The 26,828-nt window shown below is 38.4% G+C and overlaps 1 protein-coding gene across 9 annotated transcripts in view; it reads left to right on the top strand.

The window, feature by feature from the left end:
* The window catches only part of PHC2 (polyhomeotic homolog 2), a 107,470-nt gene that overhangs the window by 12,987 nt on the left and 67,655 nt on the right, over positions 1-26,828 (top strand). For 2 of the 9 annotated variants that reach the window (NM_001385122.1, NM_001385120.1), the window contains exon 1: positions 25,324-25,427. The exons of the other annotated variants lie outside the window; for them this stretch is intronic. The gene's annotated coding sequence lies outside the window, so the exon portion shown is untranslated. Of the gene's footprint in view, positions 1-25,323; positions 25,428-26,828 lie in introns of those variants that run through there. 9 annotated transcript variants of the gene reach the window in all.

The raw sequence follows: 26,828 nt of genomic DNA, 5'->3' as shown, positions 1-26,828 counted from the left end.
TTTAATGCTGTAAAATTTCCTTTAAGTACTACTTTAGCTATATCCTACAGATTTTGATACGTAATGTTTTTGTTTTCACTAGGTTTAAAATATTTTCTAATTTTCCTTAGGATTTCTTCTTTGACCCATGAGTTATTTTGAAGTGCATTGTTTGGTTTTCAAATATTAGAGATTTTCCTAATGGCTTTCTGTTATTGCTTTCGAGTATAATTCTGTTATGCTTAGAGAATATGCTTTATATGATTTCAGTTCTCTTAAATTTATTGAGACTTATTTTATGGCCCAGAATGTATATTCTGTTGTCATTAGGTGGAATGTTCTATATATCTAAATTAGGTTTGTAGTGTTGTTCAAGTCTTTTATATATGTATTAATTTTTACATCTACTTGTGTCATCAATTACTAAGAGAGGAGTATTGAAGTCTCCAACTATAATGGTAAACTTGTGTTTTCCTCCTTTTAGTGCTATCAGTTCTTGCTTTACTTGTTTTGAAACTCTGTTACTAGGTACATACACATTTAGGATTGTGTGTTCTCTTGATGAACTGCCCCTTTATCATTATAAGATTACCTTCTTTTTTCTGGCAATATTCCTTCCTCAGTCTATTTTGTCTGATATTGATATAATCATTGCAGCTTTCTTATGGTTATTGTTTGCATGGTGTATCTTTTCCACCATTTTACTTTTAGCCAATATATGTCTTTATTTTTAAAGTATGTTTCTGTAGAAAGCATATCTTTGGTTTTTAATCCAATATAAAAATTTCTGCTTTTTAATTGGGATGTGTAAACAATTTACATTTACTATAATTATCGGGATAGCTGGCCTTGAATTGACATTCTTGCTGTTTGTTTTCTATTTGTCCTATCTGTTCTTTGTTCCTTTTTTTCTCTTTTTTTTGGCCTCATTTTGGATTGTTTGAGTTTCTTAATCTTGACCCCATATTGTCCTTGTTATTGCATTATTGCTTATGTGTCTTTGTTTTATCTTTTCTTAGTATTTGTCCTCCTGTTTATAACATATGTCTTTAACTTATCCCTATCTATCTCCAAATAATATATATCACTTTATATATATTAGAGAAACATTAAAACTATATACTTCCATTTTTCCCTTCTGGTCCTTTGAGTTATTGTCATGTATTTTATTTAACATGTTTTATTATTACTTTAAGTAGTCAATTATCTTTTAAAGATATGTAAAAAATGAGGAAACGTGACCTTTATATTTACTCACCTATTTACTGTTTCAGATGTCCTTTTTATTCCTTTGTGTTTCTCTTATCAATTTCTTTAGACTAAATAACTTTCTTTAATATTTTTGATAGTGCAGTTATACTGGAATTATTTATTTCAGTGTTTGTCTGAAAAGTTCTATTTTACCTTTGAGAGATATTTTTACTAGGTAAAGAATTCTAGGTTAATAGTTTCTTCCAGGACTTTAAAGATGTCTATCCATTGCCTACTGGCTTGCATAGTTTATGAGAAGAAATCTGCTGTAATTCTTTTTTTTTTTTTTTTTTTCTTTTTTTTGAGACAGAATCTCACTCTGTTGCCCAGGCTGGAGTGCAGTGGCGTGATCTCGGCTCACTGCAACCTCTGCCTCCTGGGTTCACGCCATTTTCCTGCCTCAGCCTCCCGAGTAGCTGGGACTACAGGTGCCTGCCACCATGCCTGGCTAATTTTTTTTTTTTTTTGTATTTTTAGTAGAGACGGGGTTTCACCGTGTTAGCCAGGAAGGTCTCAATCTCCTGACCTCGTGATCCACCCGCCTCAGCTTCCCAAAGTGCTAGGATTACAGGCGTGAGCCACCGCTCCTGGCCAGAAATCTGCTGTAATTCTTATCTATGTTGCTGTAATGTCTTTTTTCTCTGGTTACTTTTAAGGTTTTCTTTTCATCACTTCAGCAGTTTTATTATGATGTTCCTTGGAGTCACTTTCTGTATATTATGCTTGGATTTATGGATTTCATCAAATTTGGAAAACTTTTAGCTATGGTTTCTTCAAATATTTTTTTATGTTCCCTTCCTCCCCACATCTCTTTTCCTTCTGGAGCTCCAATTTCATGAATATTAGATTGCTTGATATTGTCCCACAGGTCACTGATGCTCTGTTCATTTGTATTCAGTCTCCTGTGTCTCTGTGCCTCATTTTGGGTAATTTCTAATTCTGTGTCTTCAAGTTCACTGATCTTTACTTCTGAAGTTTACAATCTGTTGTTAATCTCATCCAGTCTATTTTTGGTTTCAGATGTTGTATTCTTAGTCTCTAAAAGTTTAATTTATGTCTTTTTTACACTTTCCCTTTCTCTTGTCCTCATGTTCATGTTTTCCTCCACTTCTTGAACATGTGGAACATATTTAGTAAAAGTATTTTAATATACTTGTTTGCTAGTTCTTTCATCCATGTCATTTCTGAATACGTTTTTACTTATTTATTTTTTCTTCTGGCTAAAAGTCTGATCTTCCCATTTCTTTGCATGCCTGGTAATTTTTTATGGGGGACTAGGTATTGTTAACTTTATATTCTTGATGATTAAATTTCATTATATTTCTTTAATTAGTGTTGGCTTTTATTTTGGATGCAGTTATGTTACCTAGGATTACTTTGATCCTTTCAAACGTTGCTTCTAAGCTTTATTATGGTGGGTCCAGAGCAGCCGTTGGTCTAGAACCAATTTAGCCCTCACTACTTTGTCAATATTCTTCTGGGGGTTGTATCTAATTCCTTGTCTATTACAAGGTCTTTCTGCTCAGATAGATGTGAACACAAACTATTTACAGCCCTGTAAGAACTCTGGGAATGGTTCTGCCTGCTCCCTTCCAGTAGTCTTGAGTAGTTTCCTATCATGCATGTGCAGACCAGTGCTTAGTCAAAGACTCTAGGGAGGCCTGTCGATAGAACTCCAGAGTGTTCTATCTTCAGTTCTCTGTCCCACAAATTCTAGTCACTTTGCCCTCCTGGATGTCTAATCTCAGTCACCTCGACTCGGTGAGATCCATTCCCCCTCCCTGTACTGCATCCAGGAACTGTCTGTAGGCAGTAAACTGGTACACTCGTAGGGCTCACTTTGTGTCCCTTTTCTTAGCGATCACAGGCCTGTGTTGCCTGTCAGCCAATGTATGAAAACCATTTCTTTCTATATTTAGTCCAATTTTTTTAGTTGCTTAAGGCAGGAGAGTAAATCTGGTCCCTGTTTCTTTAACTTCTAAATAGAAGTTTCAAACTTATTTTTTAGAGAACTTACATATTGACTACTAGTAGATTCCTTTCTTTAAAGAAATTCTGTCATTTAAAATATGGCTTGTGAATAGTTAAAAAGTAGATCTGCATTTAAAGTAACAAAATTCTACGTGATAAATTAAAAACAGGATTTAGGAGATTTAGATCTTCCCCACCTTGCTATCTAGCATACAATTAGAGAGTAATTCATTGCTATTAGAATGGCAGAGGGTTGAAAAGGAATTTCAAAATAAGGCTAAGGCAGACCAGAGTGTGATTTACTGCAGATCCATGGTTGTACAGAGCTGTAACCAGTTACTGAATCTTGGCTATAAACCCTTTAACTGCCCTACTGTCTATTTAAATTCTTTGTCAGTGGGCTTCAGTGTTTAAATGTTTGCTTTGATAAACATCCCAATATTCAAACAAGGAATAAAACATTCAGAACCATTGAGATAAAGATCAAAACAATAGTGAGAACATCTGACAAATGCTAACTTTTTAAACTGTAGAAGCCTCCACTAACTACAGACTGTCTGACCCCAGAATTAGGATTTTGCTCCCTGTCCTTGCTGGCCACACTGAAAATAAGTGAGGCTAATTACAATAATCTATCCTGGGGCAGGTTATTTGGGGCAATAAATCAACCTCAACTGTTAACCTTTCTTGTGTGTGTGTGTGTGTGTGTGTGTGTGTGTGTGTGTGTGTGACAGAGAGAGAGAATACATATGTAAACATGATGCATGGGCACTTATTTATTTAGTATCTTATATATGCCAGGCATTTTAATCTTCATAACAGCCCTGCCAACTCAGTTTTTAGATATACATTTAAGGGATTTAATGAACAAGCTGAGATCTAGAGATACTAAATGATGAGTTCAAGTTTTTCCATTATACCATGCTGTTTCTCACAATGCCATGCTGTATTACCCTCAGTAGCACCATAACTCAGTTGTCAGTAGACCACAAACACAACATTGGGTCATCCATCTTGCAGTCATGTACTCTGGGCCACAGGAGGCATTCGAAGACAGAGTTTGATGGATAATTACAGCTTTTTTCATTAGGAAAATAATTTGAAGTTCATGGTTTACATACAGTGGATCAAAACAACAATAAAGCAGTGAATACACTTTGTTATTATCTATATAGGCCAGTTTTACTGAAAAAGACTGATACATCCCCAATACCATACCACCTGCTGCTCAAAGACAAGCCTTTTAGTTTGAGGTTGTAGTCACTATTGGCAAAGTCTGACTGTGTTTGCAACTGTCTTTTAAACTTACAATCTTCATAAAGAGCTTCACTTTTGAGATTGTTGCCATTGAATGATTTTTCTGTGACTGTTTACTAGCTGGGCCTGAATAATCTCCTGCACCAGCCACTTTGCCTGCGGTCTCCTTTATTTCATTCATCATGAGGAAGCCACCTCAGGCTCCTGTTGTCATTTCTCTCTGCCTATATGTCAGTATCCAGTGTCAGTGGACTGGCTATATTTCAATACTTCAGTGTTAGATAGTAGCCCTAATAAATGCTTGTCAATTTAGCAACAGTAGTTATCCAATTATTTCTGTTGTCGTGGTACAGACAACCTTGGTTATAACTACTTAAAAGTCCAGGCCGGGCACAGTGGCTCACACCTGTAATCCCAGCACTTTGGGAGGCCGAGGCGGGGGGATCATCTGAGGTCAGGAGTTCGAGACCAGCCTGGCCAATGTGGTAAAACCCCATTTCTACCAAAAATACAAAAATTAGCCAAGTGTGGTGGCACATGCCTATAATCCCAGCTACTTGGGAGGCTGAGGCAGGAGAATCACTTGAACCCTGGAGGCAGAGGCTGCAGTGAGCTGAGATTGTGCCACTGCACTCCAGCCTGGGTGACAAGAGCGAGACTCCATCTCAAAACAAACAAACAAAAACAAACAAACAAAAAAAAAACAAGTCCATATGTAAGGTCCCTGATGATAACCCTGAGTTTCCTATAAAGACAAAAATGCTGCCAGCCTTTACTTTGGCTTGTGACTAATTGGGCATTAGTGCCTTACTTTTGAAATCTATGTCAAGCTTTTAATTCTGTTTCTGAATTTTTCAATAACCATGCTATCCTTCAATTACAAGATTTATGCTCCTGATGCATCATCAATACTCTTTCAAGTTTTGTTTTCTAGTATTAGAGATAAGTTGCACCGAACTTGAGAATTTGCCACTTATTAGGGTAGGGGCTAGATAGGGTACATATATCTGGCACTGTATTAGTGAGGGGTTTTTTCAGTGTGAAATGTGCTGGCCTGTGCAAGGATTAAATCTATAACTTTGGTTTTATTAGGGCAATCAGTGATCATGCTTTCTATATACAGAATGAGGATTCAAGATTCAGGTATTGTTTATTTATTCCTCTTCACCAAAGTTTAGGGTAAAGCTGGTGGTAATTGAATAGAAAAGGAAAAGTGATGTTTAGTGTTTGAATGCACGCGCACGCACGTGTGTGTGTATTTGTACAGTAACACTTTGATTTTTAAGTTATCATATAATTAATAGTTAAGAGAAAGGCTCCAGGGCCAATCTAACTAGAATTCTGGCTCTTCCAGTTACTAATTATAATTGTAACCCTGGTCGAGTTACTTAACCTGTCTGTGTTAATGTATCTTGTGACCTCGATCAATTTACTTTAGTTCTAGCAGATTTTTTGTGGATTCCTTAGGATTTTTTACAAACACAATTATGTTGTTTGCAAATACAGTTTTACTTCTTCCTTTCTAATCTTTAAACCTTTTTTTACCTGCCTTATTGCACTTCCTAGTACCTCCAGTATGATATTGAATAGACAATTGAATGGCCATTCTCAATCTTAGGGGGAAAGCATTCAATCTTTCCCTTAATAAATATGATGTTAGCTGTAGGTTTTTGTTAGATATCCTTTAAGAGATTGAGGAAGTTTTCTTCTATCCTGGTTTGTTGTGAATTGTTATGATGGTTGAGTATTGAATTTTGTCAAATGATTTTCCTTTGTCTATAAAGATGATCAGGCCCGGTGCGAATGGCTCATGCCTGTAATCCCAGCACTTTGGGAGGCCGAGGCAGGCAGATCATGAGGACAGGAGATGGAGACCATCCTGGCCAACATGGTGAAACCCCACCTCTCCTAAAATACAAAAAATTAGCTGGGCGTGGTGGCGCGCACCTCTAGTCCCAGCTACTCGGGAGGCTGAGGCAGGGGAATTGCTGGAACCCAGAAGGCAGAAGTCACAGTGAGCCGAGATCATGCCACTGCACTCCAGCCTGGTGACAGAGCAAGACTCCGTCTCAAAAAAATAAAAAAATAAAACTAAAAGATGATCATATGATCACTTTCTTTATTAATATGCTGATTTACATTGCTAGATTTTTTTATGTTAAACTTTGCCTTAATATAACAACAACAACAACAACAACAAAAAACAGAGATGTTCCAGTATGTTTCTCTGTGCATTTTTGGGGAACTAGCAGTATCTTAAGGTAGTTTAGAATCTCTAGGTTTATTCTCTAGTTGTCTCTCAATTTAAAGACTAAATGTTAATGATATAATAATCAACAGCAATATTTCTTCTGGGAGAGAACAAATGATTATATTGAGATTTCTTGATTAGTGATTTAAGTATATTTTAGTGAAATATAAACCAGTACAAGGAGAATATCATATTTATACTAGCTTTCAGATTATTTATTTCTCCCATAATTCACAGAAAAATAATTTTAATTCTTTTGAGAACTTCCTTTTTAAAGAAATGAATATATTGGGTAATGAAGCTGGCTGGCTAAATAAGACATATAATTATCGAAATGTAATTCATTCCATATTTAGAAATTATTTTGCACTAGTAATCATAATAAATGGAAGTCTCCAGGTGAAGAAAGACTTGGTTCTTCATTGGGTGATAAACAAAACAAGGACCCCCATAGTTAGTGCCTTGATTTATCATGCTTGCTATTTAACTGTGACCATAATATGATGTTTGTTCTCTTTATATAAAGGAAGGTTTTTGTTGTTTGTTACTGAGTATTTCCAGTCCTGTTTAATTATAATGGCTACTATTTTTGTAAAGAAGGTATTTTAAAATCAATGCTTAAATGTAGTAAAAATGATTCATTCCCCCAATGCCAGTTCCAGTCCTACAAATGGAAATAGCACTGAGGAGGACATCAGCTGATTTAATCTTCCATTAAGGTTTTATTTGCATAGCCCTTGATCCCTAAAGGCTTAGTCTGCCCATTGCCTCAACAAACCCTTTGTACAAATAAAATTGAATCAAGCAGATGAGTGAGTAAGTGTGTCTGGATAGCAGCCCTGGAATATCGCTACCCTTCTCATTTGCAAAGCTACATTTCCCAGTCCTTTCTGCATACACACAGGCTGTGGGGTCAAACCCGATTAGGTGCTCTCATCAACTCTTTTACAGGATTGGCCTTTTCAGCTTCGAGAAGCAGCATGACCTGTTCCATTCAGCGGCTGTTCTTAGCCCATTCTTTAGCTCTGTCTGTTACGTTCCCATGGAGTGAGGCTCTGGCTTCTCCTGCACATGCTCCCTGAGAGAGTCATTCACAAAGACAATCTGCTCTCCAAGGAAAAGCAGCAAAGCCAGCTGAGGAAAGAGATGATGGATCATGCCAACCAGAGGGGAAGAGTAAGGCATATTAAAAATGACATCAGTGCAGTAATCCCACAGGGATTAATACAAATTGAACTGGTATGTTTTTCCTGGAAATTCCAGCTCATTCCAGGCATTCATTTTTTCCATAAAGGAGTGGGGGCAGGTTTGATTCTCTCCATGTGACAAGCAATTCAGCAGCAGAGGCAATTAAGCCTTATTGACCGGCACTATACAAAACTACTAAATATTCAACAAACAGACCTTCCAGAGAAAATACATGAGGTCATTATAGTAATAGTTTCCCCTTTGGGTATTCTTCAAAATATTTTTATTTAGTTTGAGTGTGAGAGATAATATAATGCCTATAAGGATAGTTTAAAATGGTAGAAAACTATCACGTTTTAAGTATGTGACATTCTGTTAGCATTATGTGAATAAATTTCTGTCTCTCTGCAATCAGTTCAGTTCACCAAATATATATTATGAGACACCTATCCAATGATGGATGAATGTTACTCTTCTGGTGGCTAAAAACCTATGTATGGACCAAGTGGGACAGACTATAGAATTGGAAGAATGTGGACTTCTCTGCCAACCAGTGATAGATAGATTGGGCCTGGAAAGGGCTGGTCTGAGGTGGCCTATTAGATATGGGAACTCTAGTTTATTTTTTAATAATGAATGTTATTTTTATTACAAAAGTATATATTTTCATTATAGAAGATTTGGGGGAGAGGAATAAGCATAGTCAAGAAAAAACCTGTTATCCTAGCACCCCGAAGTAATGCTGTTAATGTTTTGTTTTATATCCTTCTAGTTTTTTAAATTTATGAGTGCATACATTTTCTTATTTAAAAAAAGATCTTGTTACACACTCTTTCTTAAACTGATTTTATCACCTTACTATGAACCTTTTTGTGTCCTTAAATATGATATTCTATTATATGAAAGTACAATTACTAATCCTTACCAATGGGATTTTAAATCTTCAATTTCCCCTCTTGTAATGACCACTCAGGTAGCTGAATCTTTGTGAACCCCTGGGATTATTTTAAAGATAAATTAATAAACATGGAATTACTGGGTTAAAACCTATGTAAAATACTATGGCTCTAGATGTATATTTTTTAAATATACCCCAATTTATATGTCTTTCAGCAGTGAGTATATGAGAAAATTTGACTTCTAAGCTACTCATGATTGAACAGTATCAAACTCTGTATTTGTATTTACTTACTTGTATATTCTTGCACTCTGATTAAGTTCTCAAACTTCATGTAAAGTAGTTCTCATTGTTCTCAGTATTCAACTAGTGGTCTACAACAAGTAGGTGGGAGATGGGGAAAGAGATGAATTCCTGAGAGTCTGGTTCTCTCCTGGGGCTCTCAAGCCCTGGGATGGTAACAAGGAAGTCAAGAAGACTGGCATTTTATCTTTTTGTCCCAGGTCCTAGAGAAAGGATGAGAGATATACTTAAAACCTACTAAAAACAGGCCAGGCGCGGTGGCTCATGCCTGTAATCCCAGCACTTTGGGGGGCCGAGGCAGGCAGATCACAAGGTTAGGAGTTCGAGACCAGCCTGGCCAACATGGTGAAACCCCGTCTCTACTAAAAAAACAAACAAAAAAATTAGCCGGTTATGGTGGCACATGCCTGTAGTCCCAGCTACTCAGGAAGCAGAGGCAAGAGAATCGCTTGAATCTGGGAGGCGGAGGTTGCAGTGAGCCGAGATCGTCCCACTGCACTCCAGCCTGGGTGACAGAGCGAGACTTCATCTCAAAACAAAAACAAACAAAAACAAAACAAAAAAACTACTAAAAACAGAAAGGGTATCTAATCTTCAAGAGCTTACTGTCTAGTCAGGAGAAAGAACATACATCCATGTGAAGCAAACTAGTGCAGCTCCATTTGAAGCAAACTAGTGCAAATAAATTCATACAATTCAAACTATTTTCTTATTGGTTGATGATTTAAATATGTTATTCTTTTTGCTTGTGAACAGATTCTGACGTGATGTGACAAAAATAGACTAACTGATTCACTCCCTCTCCAGCTTTCCATCACACTTAATCCAGAAACTTTCACTTCCAGTAATGGCGAGCTAGATAATTAGGATGACAAGGACAACTTAAAAAACTGAGAGAAATAAATTTTTTAAATTTTCTTACATGTACTAAAAAGGTAACAAAATAATAAAATAGGCTTGGGCCAAAATCTAGGGTAAAACAAGAACCCACGAGGTAAACTCACCATTCAAAGCCTCTTTCTCCCCCCTCACACCTTGTTTGTGCTCTAGACCCACATGATCAGGGACAGGCCAGAAACCTGACCACAGGTATCAGGAATGCCAGCTCCTGAGAAAGCTAACCTGATGACTACTTCATTGTTTTTAACTTCATCTATTTCTATGAAACACATTGATTGTACCATTTTTTTAAAGTGTTAAGATTATTAGGTATGTAAATTTGCTGCAATTGTTTTTAAATAAAAATACTATCTCTTAGAATAATGAATTTTAAAAATACCTCTCTCTCTGAAGGCATTTACTAGTCTGAATGAAATATCTGTGTAGTCAGGCTGAGTTTTTGGTAGTCTTATAGGGGAAGGAAGACAGGAATCAAAGCTGAGAGCCTGCCCAGGGTAAGAAATCTGATAAACCACCTCCCTGTTTAATCCAGGAATCTCAAGTGCTCCACCTTCAAAGTAAGAGTGAACTAGAAGTAAACCATTACTGGAGCAGCTCAAGTTTGTGTTACTCAGGTAGTCCAGGGAACCTCAAACTTTTGACATAGATAGACTAGGATGGTTCCATACTAGTAGTGGTTTCTGGTGCTTGACAGAATCAAAAAAAAATCATTTCTAGAGAATGGAGCCATTATCTTTGGACATTTATTAACCTTGAAAATATTTATTTTCTAGTATAATGACCAACAGTCAAAGATAACACTTTCACAGAATAACAAGATACCCTGAGTAGTAAACAGCAGAAACAACAGAGTCCCACAGAAACTTCAGAAATTGCAATCATGAGACAGACTGTAAAGTAACTATCCTGACTATGTATAAAGAGATTTTTAATGAGCTTGAAAATATCTGCAAGAAGGGAATCTATAAAAAGTATTGTAACAGATTGTTTTAAAACTAAATAGAACTTACAAAAGTGAAAAATATAACCATCAAAATTATGAACTCAGTGAACATATTAATCAGTAGATCATATACAGCTGAGGTCAGAACTGAAAGATGAGTCTGAAGAAATCATCCAGAGTGTAGCAGAGAAGAGAAAATGATAGATCATATGCAAGATAGGGTAAGAGACATGCAGGTCAGAATAAGAATACCTACTAACATACCCTTATGGAAGTCCCAGAAGATAAGGAAAGAGAGTTTTGGGACAGAGGATATTGGAAGAGATGGTAGCAGAGAATTTTCCTTAATTGATAAAAAACAGCAATCCACAGATTAAAGAAGCCTAATAAATTTATTCTTCTGACAAGTAGACCCAGGCAGAAGGAAAATTTATCTCAGATGGGTATCCCAGAAGGAAAATTAAAGGCATTTTGAGGCAAACAAAAACAGAGTTTGCCTCTATTACATCAAATGTAAATGGACTAAATGTTCCCATTAAAAGACAAAGATTGTCATACTGGATAAAATAATACTATAACTCTCTGCTGTTTACAGAAGACACACCTAAAATATGTCAGTAAGTTTTCAACTGTGGGTGATTTTGCCCTCAAGAAGATATTTAACAGTGTCTGGACTTATTTTTGGTTGTCATAACCTGGGGAAGTGCCATTGTAAACTACAGTGCATAGAACTGCACCCCCCGCCACACACACACAAGGAATTACGTGGCCCCAATATCACGATTGGAGAAATCCTGATGTAAGTAAACAGAAAGTTAAAAATGAAAAGATAGTAAAGAAAATATATACCAAAAGTAAGCCCAATTGCTATGTTAATTATAGACAAAATTATAATGAGTCAGAAAATACTTCTAGAAATAAAAGGGATTACTTCAAAATAATAAATGTCCATTTACCAGGAAAATCTAAGAATATTAAATTTTTATTCATCAAATAAAATGACCTCAAAATACTTAAAGCAAAAATTCCACAACTCTAAGGAAAAAGACAAATTCATTATCAAGGTGTTTTATATTTACATTCTTCTCTCAGCATTTGATATAAAAAGCAGACAAAAAGCCCCAGTAAGAATATGTAAGATTTGAATAACACAATTGTCAAATTTCACTAAGGGACATATATATAACACTGTACTTAACAACTGCAGAATATTATTTTCAAGCATACATGGAAGGAACAGTTATAAAAGTTGACTCTATACTGGATCACAGAGCTAGTGTCAACAATTTCATAGAATTAAAACCACACATAATTATGCTCTCTGACCACAGTGTATTGTTAGCATTCAATAAGAAAAAGATGACTAGAAATACCAATATTTGGAAATTAAGCAGTACACATATATAATCCATCACAGTGGAAATTAGAAAATATTCCTGACTGATAATGAAAAATACTATATATAAACTTTTCAGTAAATAAAGCTGAGCTTAGAGGAAAATTTATGGCTTTAAATTCATCTAAAGAAGTTAGGGGAAAAAACAACAAATTAAATCTGAAGAAGGTAGAAGGAAAGAAATAATAAAGACAAGAACAGGAATTAATGAAATAGAAAACACTTATAGAGAGGATATACAAAGCCAAAAGGTGATTCTTTTTAAAGACTGATAAGACTGCTGCCGGGTGTAGTGGTTCACGCCTGTAATCCCAGCGCTTTGGGAAGCTGAGGTGGGTGGATCACTTGAGGCTAGGAATTCAAGACCTACCTGGCCAACATGACGAAACCCCGTCTCTACTAAAAATACAAAAATTAGCCAGGCGTGGTGGTACATACCTGCAGTCCCAGCTACTTGGGAGGCTGAGGCACAAGAATTGCTTGAACCCAGGAGGTGGAGGTTGCAGCGAGCCAAGATTGCGCCACTGCATTCCAGCCTGGGCGACACAGAGCGAGACTCTGTCTCCAAAAAAGAAAAAAAAAAAAAAGACTACAAATCCTTATAAAGACTGATTGAGGAGAAAAAACGAAAGACAGATAACCAAAATCAGGAATGAAAAGGAAGACATCACTGCCGATCCTAGAGGTATTATAAAGAATACTTTTTTAAATAAATGAACTCCAATTTCTTACTCTGGGTAAACAAAGCCCTGTCTCATCTAATTCATACATTCATCTCATTTTATACAGTTTTCTCTCTCATCTACTGTGCAGCCATTAAACATGCCAAGTTTGTTTCTCTCATAGGGTCTTCATTACCAACTAATGCAAAGTAATGCAATGACTGTCTCCTTGTCTCAGATTTAAATATAACCTCCTCAGAAAGGCCTTTCCTGACCACTCAATCTAAGAGAGCAACCTGTTATTCTTCATATCATTCAATTTTAATTCCTTAATTAGCTCATGCTATTTACTTCATAATTGTTTGCTCCCCACTCCAGACATAAAACACATCAGAGTAGGATCTTTATCTTGCTCATCACTCTATCCCAGAGTGCTCGATAAATATTTGTTGATTGAAGTACCATCTTCTGATTCAGTCACAGAGAGGTAGGCCATGAGGGAAATAAGGAAAAAAGTAGAAACAAGAAATAAAGAAAAATCAGAAACAATTTAAGACCCTATTGTGTGCAAAAGGGAAGTGGAAAGAAGAGACAAGAAAATACATAAAGGGGTTAAAAGAGAGGAAAATAATTAGATAGTATTGCTGTTGTGTTTTGGAAAAACTCTTAATTAGAAGGAAAGGAACTAACTTTATTAAGCTACCTCTATGTAGGAAAACTAAATTACCAGGTGATGTGGGGGTTTTTTTTGAAAGATTTTATTTCAACTTACAGGCATCACCAAAATTATTTTCCTCATTTTCAACCTTTTCCTAGGAAGAAAAGAAAGTGAGTTATTTTATTCTATAGATGGAAAAACAAAAGCCTATTTGTTTTAATCAAGTAAAATTGTCAAGGATGACTGGCAGTGCCATTCACTGAGAAGGAATATTAGAAGAAGTGTTTTGGAGGGAAATCATGAGTTTCAATTTTAACAGGTTAAAATTTAGATATTTTGAAATATCCAAGTAGAGGTGTTGACAAGATAATGGGATACTTCACTCAGAGGAGAGGTCTGAGCTGAAGATCTAAATCTTTGATGTATGGATGGTAATTGAAGCCATAGGCATAGATGTGAGTGTCTAGAGAGAAAGAACAGCATATGAAAAAATGGGGTTTCATGGATGTATCTTAAGGAGCTCCAATATTCAATGGTTAGGTGGTACGAGACAAGCCTTTGAAGGAGACTGAGAAGGAATGGTCAGGAGAATATGGTTTCATGAAAGCCAAGGGTATTTACTGTTTCAAGGAAAAGAATGGTCAGCAGTGTTGAATGCTGCTGAGACACCAAAGAAAATGAGAATTGAAAATGTTTATTACCTTTAGTGACATTGAAGTCTCTGACCTCAGTGAAAGTAATTTTAGCAGAGTGGAGATGGAATCTGAGTCATTTTAACATCCACAGTACCTTTCCGTAGAGTAGATATTTGATATGATTTTTCATTTTCTTTACCATGAAATGTATAATTATGCAGAAGAAAGTATAATGTATATGTAGTATTTGAAAAATAAAGTGAACAACATTTATCCATAACCCAACTTAGGAAACAGAACTTTAGAAGACACCCATATGCTCCTCCCTGTTTGCATCTACCTTCTTCATCTGCCCAGATATACCACTCTTAAACTGTTGTAATAAGTTTTCCCGCCAGGTGCAGTGGCTCACGCCTGTAATCCCAGCATTTTGGGAGGCCGAGGCGGGTGGATCACGAGGTCAAGAGATCGAGACCATCCTGGCCAACATGGTGAACCCCTGTCTCTACTAAAAATACAAAAATTACCTGGGCGTGGTGGTGGGTAGCTGTAGTCCCAGCTACTCGGGAGGCTGAGGCAGGAGAATCTCTTGAACCTGGGAGGTGGAAGTTGCAGTGAGCCGAGATCGCACCACTGCACTTCAGCCTGGCGACAGGGTGAGACTCCATCTCAAAAAAAAAAAAAAAAAAAAAAGTGGGCCGGGCGCAGTGGCTCACGCCTGTAATCCCAGCACTTTGGGAGCCTGAGGTGGGTGGATCACGAGGTCAGGAGATCAAGACCATCCTGGCTAACACAGTGAAACCCCATGTCTACTAAAAATAAAAAAATAAAAAAAATTTAAAAAGTCGGGCGTGGTGGCAGGCGCCTGTAGTCCCAGATACTTGGGAGGCTGAGGCAGGAGAATGGCATGAACCCAGGAGGCGAGATCGCGCCACTGCACTCCAGCCTGGGCCACAGAGCAAGAATCCATCTCAAAAAAAAGAGTTTTCCCTTGCTTTTCTTTTATAGTTTTACAACATATGAGTGACTTCCTAAACAATATACTGTTATTTTTACAATATACTTTTTTAGTTTTAACTGGTTTTGAACTCTGTATAAATGGAATTATACTGTATTCATTCTGAGTCTTGCTTCTTTTGTTCAGCATTATCTTTTTGAGATTTGTCTGTGTTGATACCTGAGATTGTATGTCATTTTCACTGTTGTATAGCATTCCATTGAATTAACATGCCATAATGTATTTTTACATTCTGCTTTTGATTGGTATTTGGGTCATTTCCAGTTTTTTGGTTTTTTGCTTTAAAAAGCAATTCCACCGTGAACATCATTATCATGTCACCTTATGAATATGTGCAAGAGTTTTTCTAAGATAGGTGTATAGATAAGAATAGAATTGCTAGGCCATATCATATGGGTATGTTCAACTCTATTGTGAAATACCAAACTGTTTTCTAAAGTGATTGAATCATTTTTTACTCCTACCCATTCCATGTGAACATAACCATTGCTCTGTATCCTCCCCAGTGTTTGATATTGTCAGTCTCTAGAATTGTTGCCAATTTCATGAGTATGAAATTTTATCCTATTGTAGTTTTAATTTGCATTTTCTTGATTATTAATAAAGTGAAGTTTTTAAATGTCTATTGGCCATGTAGAAAATTCAATTCAAGTGTGATGCCCATTTTTCTGTTGTGTCTTTTACTTTTGAGTTATAGGTATTTTTAAAATATTTTTGATGCAAATTCTCTTTTTGTTATGTGTGATAGAAATATTTTTTCTCAGTGTAAGGCTTGTTATTATGCCTTTGACGAACATAAATTTTTTCTTTTAATGTAGTCAAATGTATCAGTCTTTTCTTGTTTAAAATATCCTTTCCTACTGTAAAGTCATTATTTTGTCCTACATTTTCTCCTAAAAATCTTGTATTTTTGTCTATTCCTCTTAAATATTTAGTTTACTTTAACTTGGGAGGTTTGCTGTGAGGTGGGAGATCAATTTCATTTTTCTATGTGGATGCCTGGTTTTCCCATACTGTTTAATGAGATGTCCAGTCCTCCCCTACTGACCTGATAAACCCATCTGTCATATAGCAAGTGTTCATAAATGTGTGGGTCTATTTTGGGAACTTCTGTTTGGTTCCATTAAGTGGTAAATGTTTAGCAACTAGCTCTTCCCACTCCTTTCCTATACACAAAAAGTCCCGATTTGTAGTATTTGCTGATTTCCATGGTATAAATACTCCCGCAATGACCAGTTTCAAGCTTCCAATGTGATATCACTAAAATGCGGAGTTGGTAAGAGGTGCTAACAGTTAGAGGTCAAGAATAGGGTCTATCCAAAAGATAGTGCTAATGCCAAACTTTCTTAACTAGTAGAGCTCGATATCAGGGCAATTCTCACATTGTCTTCTTTAGGAGTGATCTGCCTATTCTTGGTCTTTTGCATTTCCATATATATTTTAGAATTAACTTATAAAGCCTCTTTTTTTTTTGAGACGGAGTCTGGCTCTGTCGCCCAGGCTGGAGTGCAGTGGTGCAATCTCGGCTCACTGCAAGCTCCACCTCCTGGGTTCACGCCATTCTCCTGCCTCAGCCTCCCGAGTAGCTGGGACTACAGGTGCCTGCCACCACACCCGGCTAATTTTTTGTATTTTTAGTGGAGACGGGGTTTCACCATGTTAGCCAGGATGGTTTGGATCTCCTGACCTTTTGATTCGCCTACCTCGGCCTCCCAAAGTGCTAGGATTACAGACGTGAGCCACCATGCCTGGCCCAAGATGGATATAATTTTTATGTTACAAAAAGATTTATAATTGTACTGGAGTCTGTTAACCTTCAGACAATTCCTTTAATGCTTTTATTTATTTATTTATTTATTATTTTTAATGTAGACAAGAATGAGATGATGATGCGTTGACATACCTCCTTTTTTACTAACACAAAGGGCAGCTATCTGAAGCACATTATTCCAACATGGATCTTTTCAGTTAATAATATATCTCAGAGATCTTTCCTGTCAACATGTACAATTCTTACTCTTTAATGCTTTTGTACTTACTATACTATTTTAACTGCTTCAGAGTATTCAGTTATGTGCATATGTATAGATGTGGATGTGAATGTGTGTGTGTGATAGTGGTTAAGAGCTTGAGTTCTGGAACCAGACTGCCTGTCCCGGAATCCTTCTCTGACACCTTCTATGTGACTTTAGAACAGTTTCTTAACCTCTGTGAGTCTCATTTTCCTCATTTATAATATGGTCAAAGTAGCAATGCCTATGTCATGGAATTGGTGTGAAGATTAAATGAGATAATTCATGTCAGGCATTAGAGCCTGGCTGCTACACAGTAAGTGCTTAATAAATGTTAACTGCTAGCGTTTTCATTCTTGCCTTTGCTGCTATTATTACTCCTAGTACTGCGCTACTGATAAATACTTGATTTGTTTCCAGGTTTTTGCTATGACAAACAATGCAGTGGTGAATATCCTTGTACATAGATCTTAAAATAACTTGGGGGATGTGTATCCCTGAGTGCAAACTCCTATAAACAGAATTGTTGGGTCAAAGAGTATGCAGCTAAAAATATTGCCAAATTGCCCTCTAAAACAGATATTCCAAATTATATTCTTACCAATTGTATAAGAAGTATATTACTCACCTTACATCAGCCCTCCGTATTATTAAATTTCTAAATGTTTACCAATCTTATACTTAGTTTGTCCTGCATCTCTTTAGATATGAATGAGATTAAACATCCTTTTATAGGTTTATCACTTTTTTTTTTTACAAATAATAATGAACTACTTGCTCATATCCTTTGCCTATTTTCTACTAAGTTATATCTCTCTCTTACTGATTTCTAAGAGTCCCTAGTGCCTTATAAATAAAAATACTGACCTATCAATTTCCAGAAACATAGTTTCTATGGAAATTAGATATAACTGAATTACTTATATTCACTTGATTTTTTTTTGTAAACATTTTAAAGCTCCCCCAACCCTGCCCCCGCCAGTCTCTTGAGCATTCCTACCTAAAGTCACTTGGGGTCAGGGACTATAACTTCTATTCCTTTATTTCCACTTGTTCCCTGTCCCTCTAGTAGCACCGGGCTTCTCTGCCAAATTCAGTGACTGGTGGAGGGGCCTTACTATAGAAATTTCAAAAGAGTGGATTTGAGTCATGGTCCTGAAACATAAGCCACACATTAGGTTATGTGAAGGCCTGGAAAACAAGAAAACATGTCCAGAGGCTAAGCAGGCTCCTTCTATTCTAGGCACATCTCCAATGGCAAGATGCTTAAGTCTATTTTAGCCAATAAGAAGATTGACCTGTTCACATGGCATCTGACAGGAAAACGTGGAGCCAAGAACTTGGAGCTTTTTGGAATCCATTCATCTATAAATCTGTGGCGGCTCTTTAGAACTTTTTCCAAATGGGGGCAGTGATAATGATAATGTGACTATAATGTGGCCCTTGTGAGCTCAGTGTCCAAAGTAATAATACTTCCAGCACCTTTTGTAGGGTACCTGCTGTGTGTGAGTACTATTCTAGAAGTCTTACACACATCCTCTTTATTCCTTGTAGGGTCCCTTCAAGGATTGTTCTTTCTGCTTTAAAGACAAGGAAACAGTGACTCAGTGTAGCATAGCACCTTGTCCTAGTCACACTCATAATGCAGGACAGAGGTGGATCCTATTCAGGCCTGAATACCCCAACCCCACACACTGTTTTGTTCTACTGTTCACTTTGTACATCTGTAGTAGAATTTTTCACATTTTGCCTTGTATATAGTTTCATTGTTCTTCCAATACTGTAAAACTCCTTGAACTCTGGACCCAGACTGCCTGAAGAAAGAAACCGTGTCTTTTTCACCTACCCTCCAAGCAACAATCAGCGAGGCTATCGAGGTCAACTGGACTTGCCCCAAGAACACTTCATGGTCAATGTCTGGGTCAGGAATTGACTTTAGCCAACTGTGCCCTCTGTTGTGAAGCCATCCTAGAAACCAGTGCCTCCCATCTGTGTGTGCTTTCTAGCTCTGAAAACTACCAAAAAGTCCCTGTATCTACTGGAATATAGCTTTGGGAAACCAAGAATGCCTGCAGCCCCTCGTTCAGCAGGTACTTCAATGCAGAGGACCAATGTGGGCAGAACTGCACTACCAGCTTGTGAATGAATGTTCAGATGGGAAGTGAGCATCTTTTCCCTTATGTTTTGTGCTAAGAATACTGTGATGTTGAAGCCCAGATACTTTAAGATACATAGACATTTGGAAAATAAAGAAAAGGATAAATGAGAAAATAAAAATCAGCAGTAACACTATCACCCAAAGCAGCCATTGTTAACATTTGGTATCTATCCTCCCAGCTAAGCTATACATTAAATAACATGTACTTAACAATGGGATTATATTATGCATATTACATTTGTAACAAGCTTAGTGCCATTTTGATTGGTTATTCCAAATCTAGGGGAAGCCTATTAGACAAAAGTTCTCTCCTTCCTCTGGCTGTGATTTACTGGGGGTAGAGGTGGGGTTTAAATCATAATTACACTTACTTAATGTCATTTAAAATGTTGCAAAGCATTTCACATCCTGCTGAGGAATCTGATAGTGCTGAAGCAAGACCAGAGTCTACCTCTGCACTCAAGCCTTAGAGCCTTTCCACAATGCTTTTCAGTTTCAGGTTTCAGGAGGAAAGAGAAGCAAAAAGCAGTGCTATCATAAGCAGGGCTAGATGATCTAATGGCAGAGCCAGATGGGGTCTTGTTTTTAGTTGCAATCTGTCTGAGGCATTCTTGTAATATTATTTAACAATTAATTTTTAAGTATTTTTTTACATGCACAGGGAACAAAGTCCAAAAGATTCAAAAGAGTATACGGTGAAAAGCATGCCTCCCCCTACTCCCCGGGAGGCATCACTGTCTGCGATTTCTTGTGTATCCTTATCTGAAGCATTTTGAGTTCAAAGGGCAGGCAAGCATTTGCAGAGGTCATCAAGGGTATTTTCCTTTGTCGCATCAGTATTCTCTGCAGAGGTCATCCTGGTAACCAGGCTTCATAACCCCCAACAATATTCCAAAGGAATATCTCCTTTCAAAGTGCATGGTGGATGTACCCTGAGGCAGAGCCAAAATCACCCACTGAGACCACCCCAAACAAAGAGGGCAGAGAGCTGCCGTGCTGCCAGAGGAACAGACTCAGGAGGGCCACAGCTGAATCTGGACCAGTCTCAGAGTCAGGAGACCGAGGCCTCATCTGGTCTCTGCCATGGATGGACTGTAAGCAAGTTACTTAACCTTTCTGCGAAGTCTCCTCCTTGTCTAACAGGGTAAGATTATAATTAAGAGGATGGCTCAAAACAATTCCTCTTAAGCTTTAATGTGCACGTGAATGACCCAGAGGATCTTGTTGCAATGCTCATTCAGATTCAGCAGGTCTGGGGTGGGGCCCAAGATTCTGCATTTTCAACATGCTCCAAAGACTCAAGAAGTGGCCCTCAACTACTGGCCTGTGACCTGTTCCCGGGACTAAGCACCTGGTAATGTTTACTTCAGAGCTGAGCAGCTCCCTCTGGAGAACCCTGGCATTCAATTTCCTAAGATTTTTATTTGACCTCTGGTGCCTGGTGATGGTGCTGCTGCCAGACCCTGTGCTGAATGCTCTGAATATATGGTTCCTCTCATTGTCCCAGCTACTCAGTGAAGTAGGTGTTGTGATTATCCCCATTTCACAGATGAGGAAACTAAGGCTTAGAGAGGTGAATGTGCTCAATATTACACAGCTGGTAAGAGGCAGAGCAGGCCTTCCCACAGACCATCTGATTCCAGACTCCTCGTGTTAACACTAAACCAAAGAGCGAGTGGCATTCTCCATTTCAGCCTTGAAAGTGAACACCATAGGAAGTGCTGTACCAAGGGGCCTCCTCTTGTGTCTGTGTGGGAGGAGGACGCTGCTGTCCGTCAGCTCAGAGTGTCTCCTCCAAAGAAATGCATCTCAGCTTGCAAAGCCTCTACCTCAAATTTTTGTGAAAACTCTTCAAGGATTCTGACCGCAGCTCTTATCAGTTACGGGGCAGGAAGCCGCCTTCCACAAGCCACTCTCTCCCCATACCAGAGGGTTCCTTGGCTGTGAACAGCACTTAGATTGTGTCAGAGGAAGGCCATGGGCTTTAACAGGCCACATCCATTTTCATTTACCTTCTGAAAGAAGATTAAGGAGAAAATTCAATTTTGCCTAATGCCTCCCCCAAATGGCTAATTTATATGCTAATTAGCAAGATAGGGATCGATGAAACTGGTAATCAATATGATATCCAAGGCAATGGTAATGAAATTCATTCTGAGATGCACTGGCAGTGGAAATGAAGCAATTATGCAGAATAAATGGGGCAGCTCAGGGAATAAGGGCCCCAGATTGCACTTGACTGCATTATTTCCCCTTTTACCCCTCCCCTCACCCTTCCCCACCCCGTTAAAATCAACTGTCCATTCAGGTCCTTTGAGGTACCACGTGCCAGCTTCTCCCTCTCCAAATACCTGATCCTGCATTAACCCTGTGGATTTGTGGCCCACCATGGGGAAATGGAGCTATAGAAAACAGCAGGCTCTGAGAAGACTAGGGATACAAACCCTGGAGGAGAAGCAGGGGCTGAATAGAGGCTCTTAAGCCATAGACTGAGTGGTGAATTCGTACTTTACTGTCACACCTACTGAGGTTGGCTTAAGGTTTTTTAATTCTAAAGCATTATAGATACCATATTGCCCAAAATTTCCACGACTGTCCTAATTTCAAATATTTTGTCCCATGAGGCCATATGTTAAATGACGTGTCCTACATAAGTCCAGTGATAAGTAGGCCACAGTGTTTTTGTATGATTTAGTCTAATACTAGGAAGTCTTGTTTCAATCTGGACATTTATTCCAATGTTTCAGATATTTTGGAGGAGAGGGGAGAGGTGTGATTGCCATCATCTCTGGAGATTTAGGGACCCTATAGTATTCATTTCACACTTTTCAACTAAGATAATTGAAATTTGTCTTTTACCCCAATGTCTGCTCATTGGAATCGCCTGGGTAATTTGTCCCCAAATTTTCTTATGAAAAGTTCTGAACATACCAAAAAGTTGAAATAAGTATACAGTGAATGTCACATGTATCCTATCCAGATTCTACAATTAACATTTTACCATACTTGCCTTATCACATATCTGTCCAACTGTCCATCCCCCATCCATCATCAGTTCATCTTTTCTTAATGCATTTCACAATAAATTGCAGGCATCAGGATACTTCAGTCCTAAACACTTCAGTATGTATAGCATTAACTAGAGTTCAATATTTATTTATTTATTTATTTATTTATTTTTATCTTAAGGTAAAATGTATATACAACAAAATGCACAAATTTGAAAAACACTATTCTGTAAATTTTGACAGAGGCATGCATTGATATAGTACAAATCCCTATCAACATCACCCCAGAAATTCCCTCTTCCCCCTTCCCAGCCATTCCCCACCCCGTACCCCACAGAGGCAACCACTGCTCTGATTTTTTTCTATCATAGATTAACTTTATTCTAAGAACTCCATATAAATAGAACCATGTAGTATGTACCCTTGTATAAGGCTTCTTTTATTCAGCATAGTATTTTTTAAATTCATCCATGTTGTTGCACATATTAATATTTTGTTTCTCTTTATTGATGAATAGCATTCCATTGTGTGGATATACCACAGGTTTGGGGGCTATTATGAATGAAGCTGCTATGAACGTATTTGTACAAGACTTTTTATGAACATATGTTTTCATTTTGCTTGAGTGAATTCCTAAGGATGGAATTTCTGGGTTATAGGGTAGATGAATGTTTAGTTTTATAAGAAATTGGCAGACTGATTTCCAAAGTGGTTGTGCTATTCCTGGGAAGTGCTTTAAAAACGCTGTTTTGGCTGGGCGTGATGGCTCATGCCTGTAATCCCAACACTTCGGGAGGCCAAGGCAGAAGGATCACTTGAACCCAGTAGTTCGAGACCAGCCTGGGCAGGAAAGCAAGACGCCATCTCTACAAAATAAAAAATAAAAAATTAGCCAGGTGCAGTGGTGTGTGCCTGTGCTTCGGAGGCTGAGGCAAGAGAATCACTTGAGCCTAGGAGTTCCAGGCTGCAGTAAGCCATAATTGTACCACAGTTGTACCACTGTACTCCAGCCTGGGTGACAGAATAAGACCTTGTCTCAAAAGAATAATAATAAAATAAAAACATTGCCTCTCTGCTCCCCCTACCAAAAAATTCTTAGTTAATTAGTTGATCAGGAGTGGGGCCCAGGCATTGGTGTTTCCAGCATGCACTGCTGTGGTTCTGATTTGCAGCTGGAGGAGAGAGTCACTGAAGGTTTAACATTTAACTTTAGTTTAAAGACCTTTTGGTGCCTATGATAAGTGCAAAAAGTTGACTTTTTTTTTACTTTGAAAACTGGCTTTCTGTTGCTGTTCCCCTTTTTCCTTTACTTTTTTTTTTCTTTTGCTGCTATAAAGACTTGATGGTGTTCTTGGATTATTTGGACATCAGAGTTCACTTGAGTCAAAAGATCTGCTTTTTAATCCCAGTTTTGCCACTTTGTAACTGTATAAGTTTGAGCAAGTTACTCATCAGTGTCCTTTTCTGTAAAATATGGTTTCTGTTATGTATTCCAAGGCTATGAGGATAAAAGTGCCTGACTCAAAAATTTTCTGAAATTTATTATAGGACAGGAGTGGAAATAGAGTTATCCATTGCCCTCCCCAACCCCCAGGATACATGAGATTCCTTAACTCTGCCTTTCTGAACAAAGGCAGATTGACAGTTCTTTTCTTTGGTTCTATAATATGGCTCTGGATGTGAGGCTGTGAATGTCAGAGGTTGGAGAGCTGTCACCACTTCCTTTAATGATTCGAGTATAATTACCTCTTGTCTTACAAGTATGTAAAACTCCAAATCAGTAGGATAGGGATTTTGAATTGGTTTTCCATTCCTGATGGTGATGTGGGCTGATCCATCTCTTCGTTGTCCCCATGTAACCCACAACACATCTTTGCAAGACTGCTGGGTAGAGTTTATTCTTGCCTTCATTGGCTCTGGATTACTGAGCATCAAGTCAATAACAACAATGACAGCAAAATCAACCTACCTTCTGAAGCCTAGCCTGCTCACTCTGAGGAGACAGGCTTGGAGACTATCTCCTGAGTCCACTTCATATGGTTCTGGTCCACACAGACTGCACTGGTCCCTGAGCACAGAAAGTTGGTGTGTGTGGCTCCTGACAAGATTTACATCAAATGCTCAGTACTTGTTGGAAGAAAAAAAAAAAAAAAAAAACCTCTTGAAAAGGTCTTATAAGTGATGTGGCTTCTCTCATTGTTTTGTTCAACCATTTAAATGAGGATTTTCCAGTCAGCACCAGGAAGAATGCACTTGAGGCCAGCATGGGCACAGATGAGGCTTCTAAATCAGGGTAGAAGTGCCAGGCTTAGCTCCTTTCTAAACAGGAGGGCTGAGGATTCTCTATCGCATCCTCCCAGACAACTACTGAGCATGCAGCATGCATTCTTTGCCTTCCTAGGAAGGTAGGGTTTTCAGAGTATTCGAGGTTGCTCTGGGCGCCAGTTATCAGTGATAACTAACAAAGATCCAGGGAAAATGATGGCTGCTAATGAGCTTCTTTTCAAGTTTATGGCCTCCCTGAGTGTCTGTCTGTGGAACTCTCATGCTTTTGTAAGGGGGTACAGGATAGAGGGGACAAGGGAAGGGATCAGATGGCCTGCTATCTGAAGCATGTGCCTGGCTTCAATAGTCCCCTTTTGGGTTGGTTTATTCTGTAATGTGTCCCCTGAGAAGACAGACTAAGCAGCCTGGGTTACCCTGCAATTTCTCCAAACTATTTGCATGAAATACTGCAGGCAAAAAGCCCAGCCCCTGATTGGCTGTTGCTAGGTAACAACATAATCATCAGGAAATTAGGCTGTCCTTTTTTTTTTCCCAACACGGAGTATGTGTGTGATTGCAGTGTTGTGCAGGAAGAGAGAGGGAGTGGAACAAAGACAGATAAATGGGATGATCTTGAAGGCGGGGACACCACAGCCACAAACCTGCATCCCACGGTAGGACAATCTGCTTTGGGTTGGGCTCTTTACTCAGTCAAACCAATATTGGTACATTTTCCTTTTTAGAATAATGGCAAAGCTAGGAGGGCCCTGCAGACAGCAGGAACAGGAGCTATAATAGAAGCAACTTTGAGATTTGAAGTGCTTTTTAGAAGCAAGAGGTAGTATTTAATATGTGGGAATGACTCTAGTGAAGTGAATAAACGAGTGTGTCTGGAGAATGTATACAGGCAGATAAGAATCCATTAGTATGGCCGTAGAGCACCTGCAAGGAACAGAACGTGAGAACGCGCATGTGAATGAGGCATAACAGAAAAAAAAAGCATGCTTTAAGATAGGAAAGGGAGCCCATAAACTGAAGTTTAGAACTGTATCTGTTATGACTCCGCCAGTGTTTAGCATGTGGACCTCGCGTTAGGACCTCACAGACTAGACAGGTGGATGAAGAGGCAGCAGTCTAAAGAGAGCATTTGTGTATGTGCATGTGCATGTGTGTGTGTGTGTGTGTGTGCACGTATGTGTGCACACAGCTGAAGCACCTAGTTCATTTTCAAGATTGTGTCCTGAATAACAGTGTGCAGAGCCCTGGCAAGTACACAGCCACACCTGGACGCTTCCACTGGGTAATGAATATCCATGAAGACCGTTAGCACTTTCCTTTCCCTCTGTGCTAGCCCCAGGTGGCTTTCTCGCCTCTAACCTCCCTTATCTTGCCTTCCTTTTGAGCTCCCTAGCAATGACCCTGCCCTTACACTAGAGCCTCAGTTGCAATACAGCATACTTCATTGGCTTGCTACAATCCCAGCCAAGCTAATTGCCTTTTGCCATTCATTGTCTGCCAGATTAACGACTCCTCATGTGTCTGGTTGCCCATCGCCTCCTCTGAGATTCCTCTGTGTACTCTCTCTGGCTTGTCTTTCCCTTCTTCTGTCTCCTCAGCTCAGCCTCTCTGAGCTCCACATCTGAATTTTTAGAAGGCATTTAATTTAAATGATAAAATAGAAGCACTGCCTTTTTTTTTTTTTCCTATCAAAGGGAATAGTATTAGGCATGATGCAGAGGGGACCATTTTGTAGGAGTGGTAAAAAATATGCAGATGTATCAGAAACAAGGCAGAGTATGTGCCAATAACCAAGACTCAGAAGAAAAGATCTTCCCAAGCATACAGTCCCGTACAGTGATTTGCTGTCTCCAGTGGGTGAGCCTAACAAGGCTCAAAGCTCCTGCCCGAAAGAAAAAAGCCATCACTAACGTACAGTGGCTCAAATCCCCTTTCTGAGTACATGTACTAAATGGAATGAACTTGATGCTCTGCAAAGCCTTTAGGACTTGAAGTGCAGATCATCTTCCTCTTCTCCAGTGGCGACTTTCATTACCTTTTAGTTCTCAAACATTAAA

Source organism: Homo sapiens, chromosome 1 (assembly GCF_000001405.40).
Source record: "Homo sapiens chromosome 1, GRCh38.p14 Primary Assembly".
In the NCBI taxonomy this organism is placed as follows: domain Eukaryota; kingdom Metazoa; phylum Chordata; class Mammalia; order Primates; family Hominidae; genus Homo; species Homo sapiens.
Note: the sequence above shows the minus strand (reverse complement) of the source record. Positions and strands in the feature narration are given on the sequence as shown.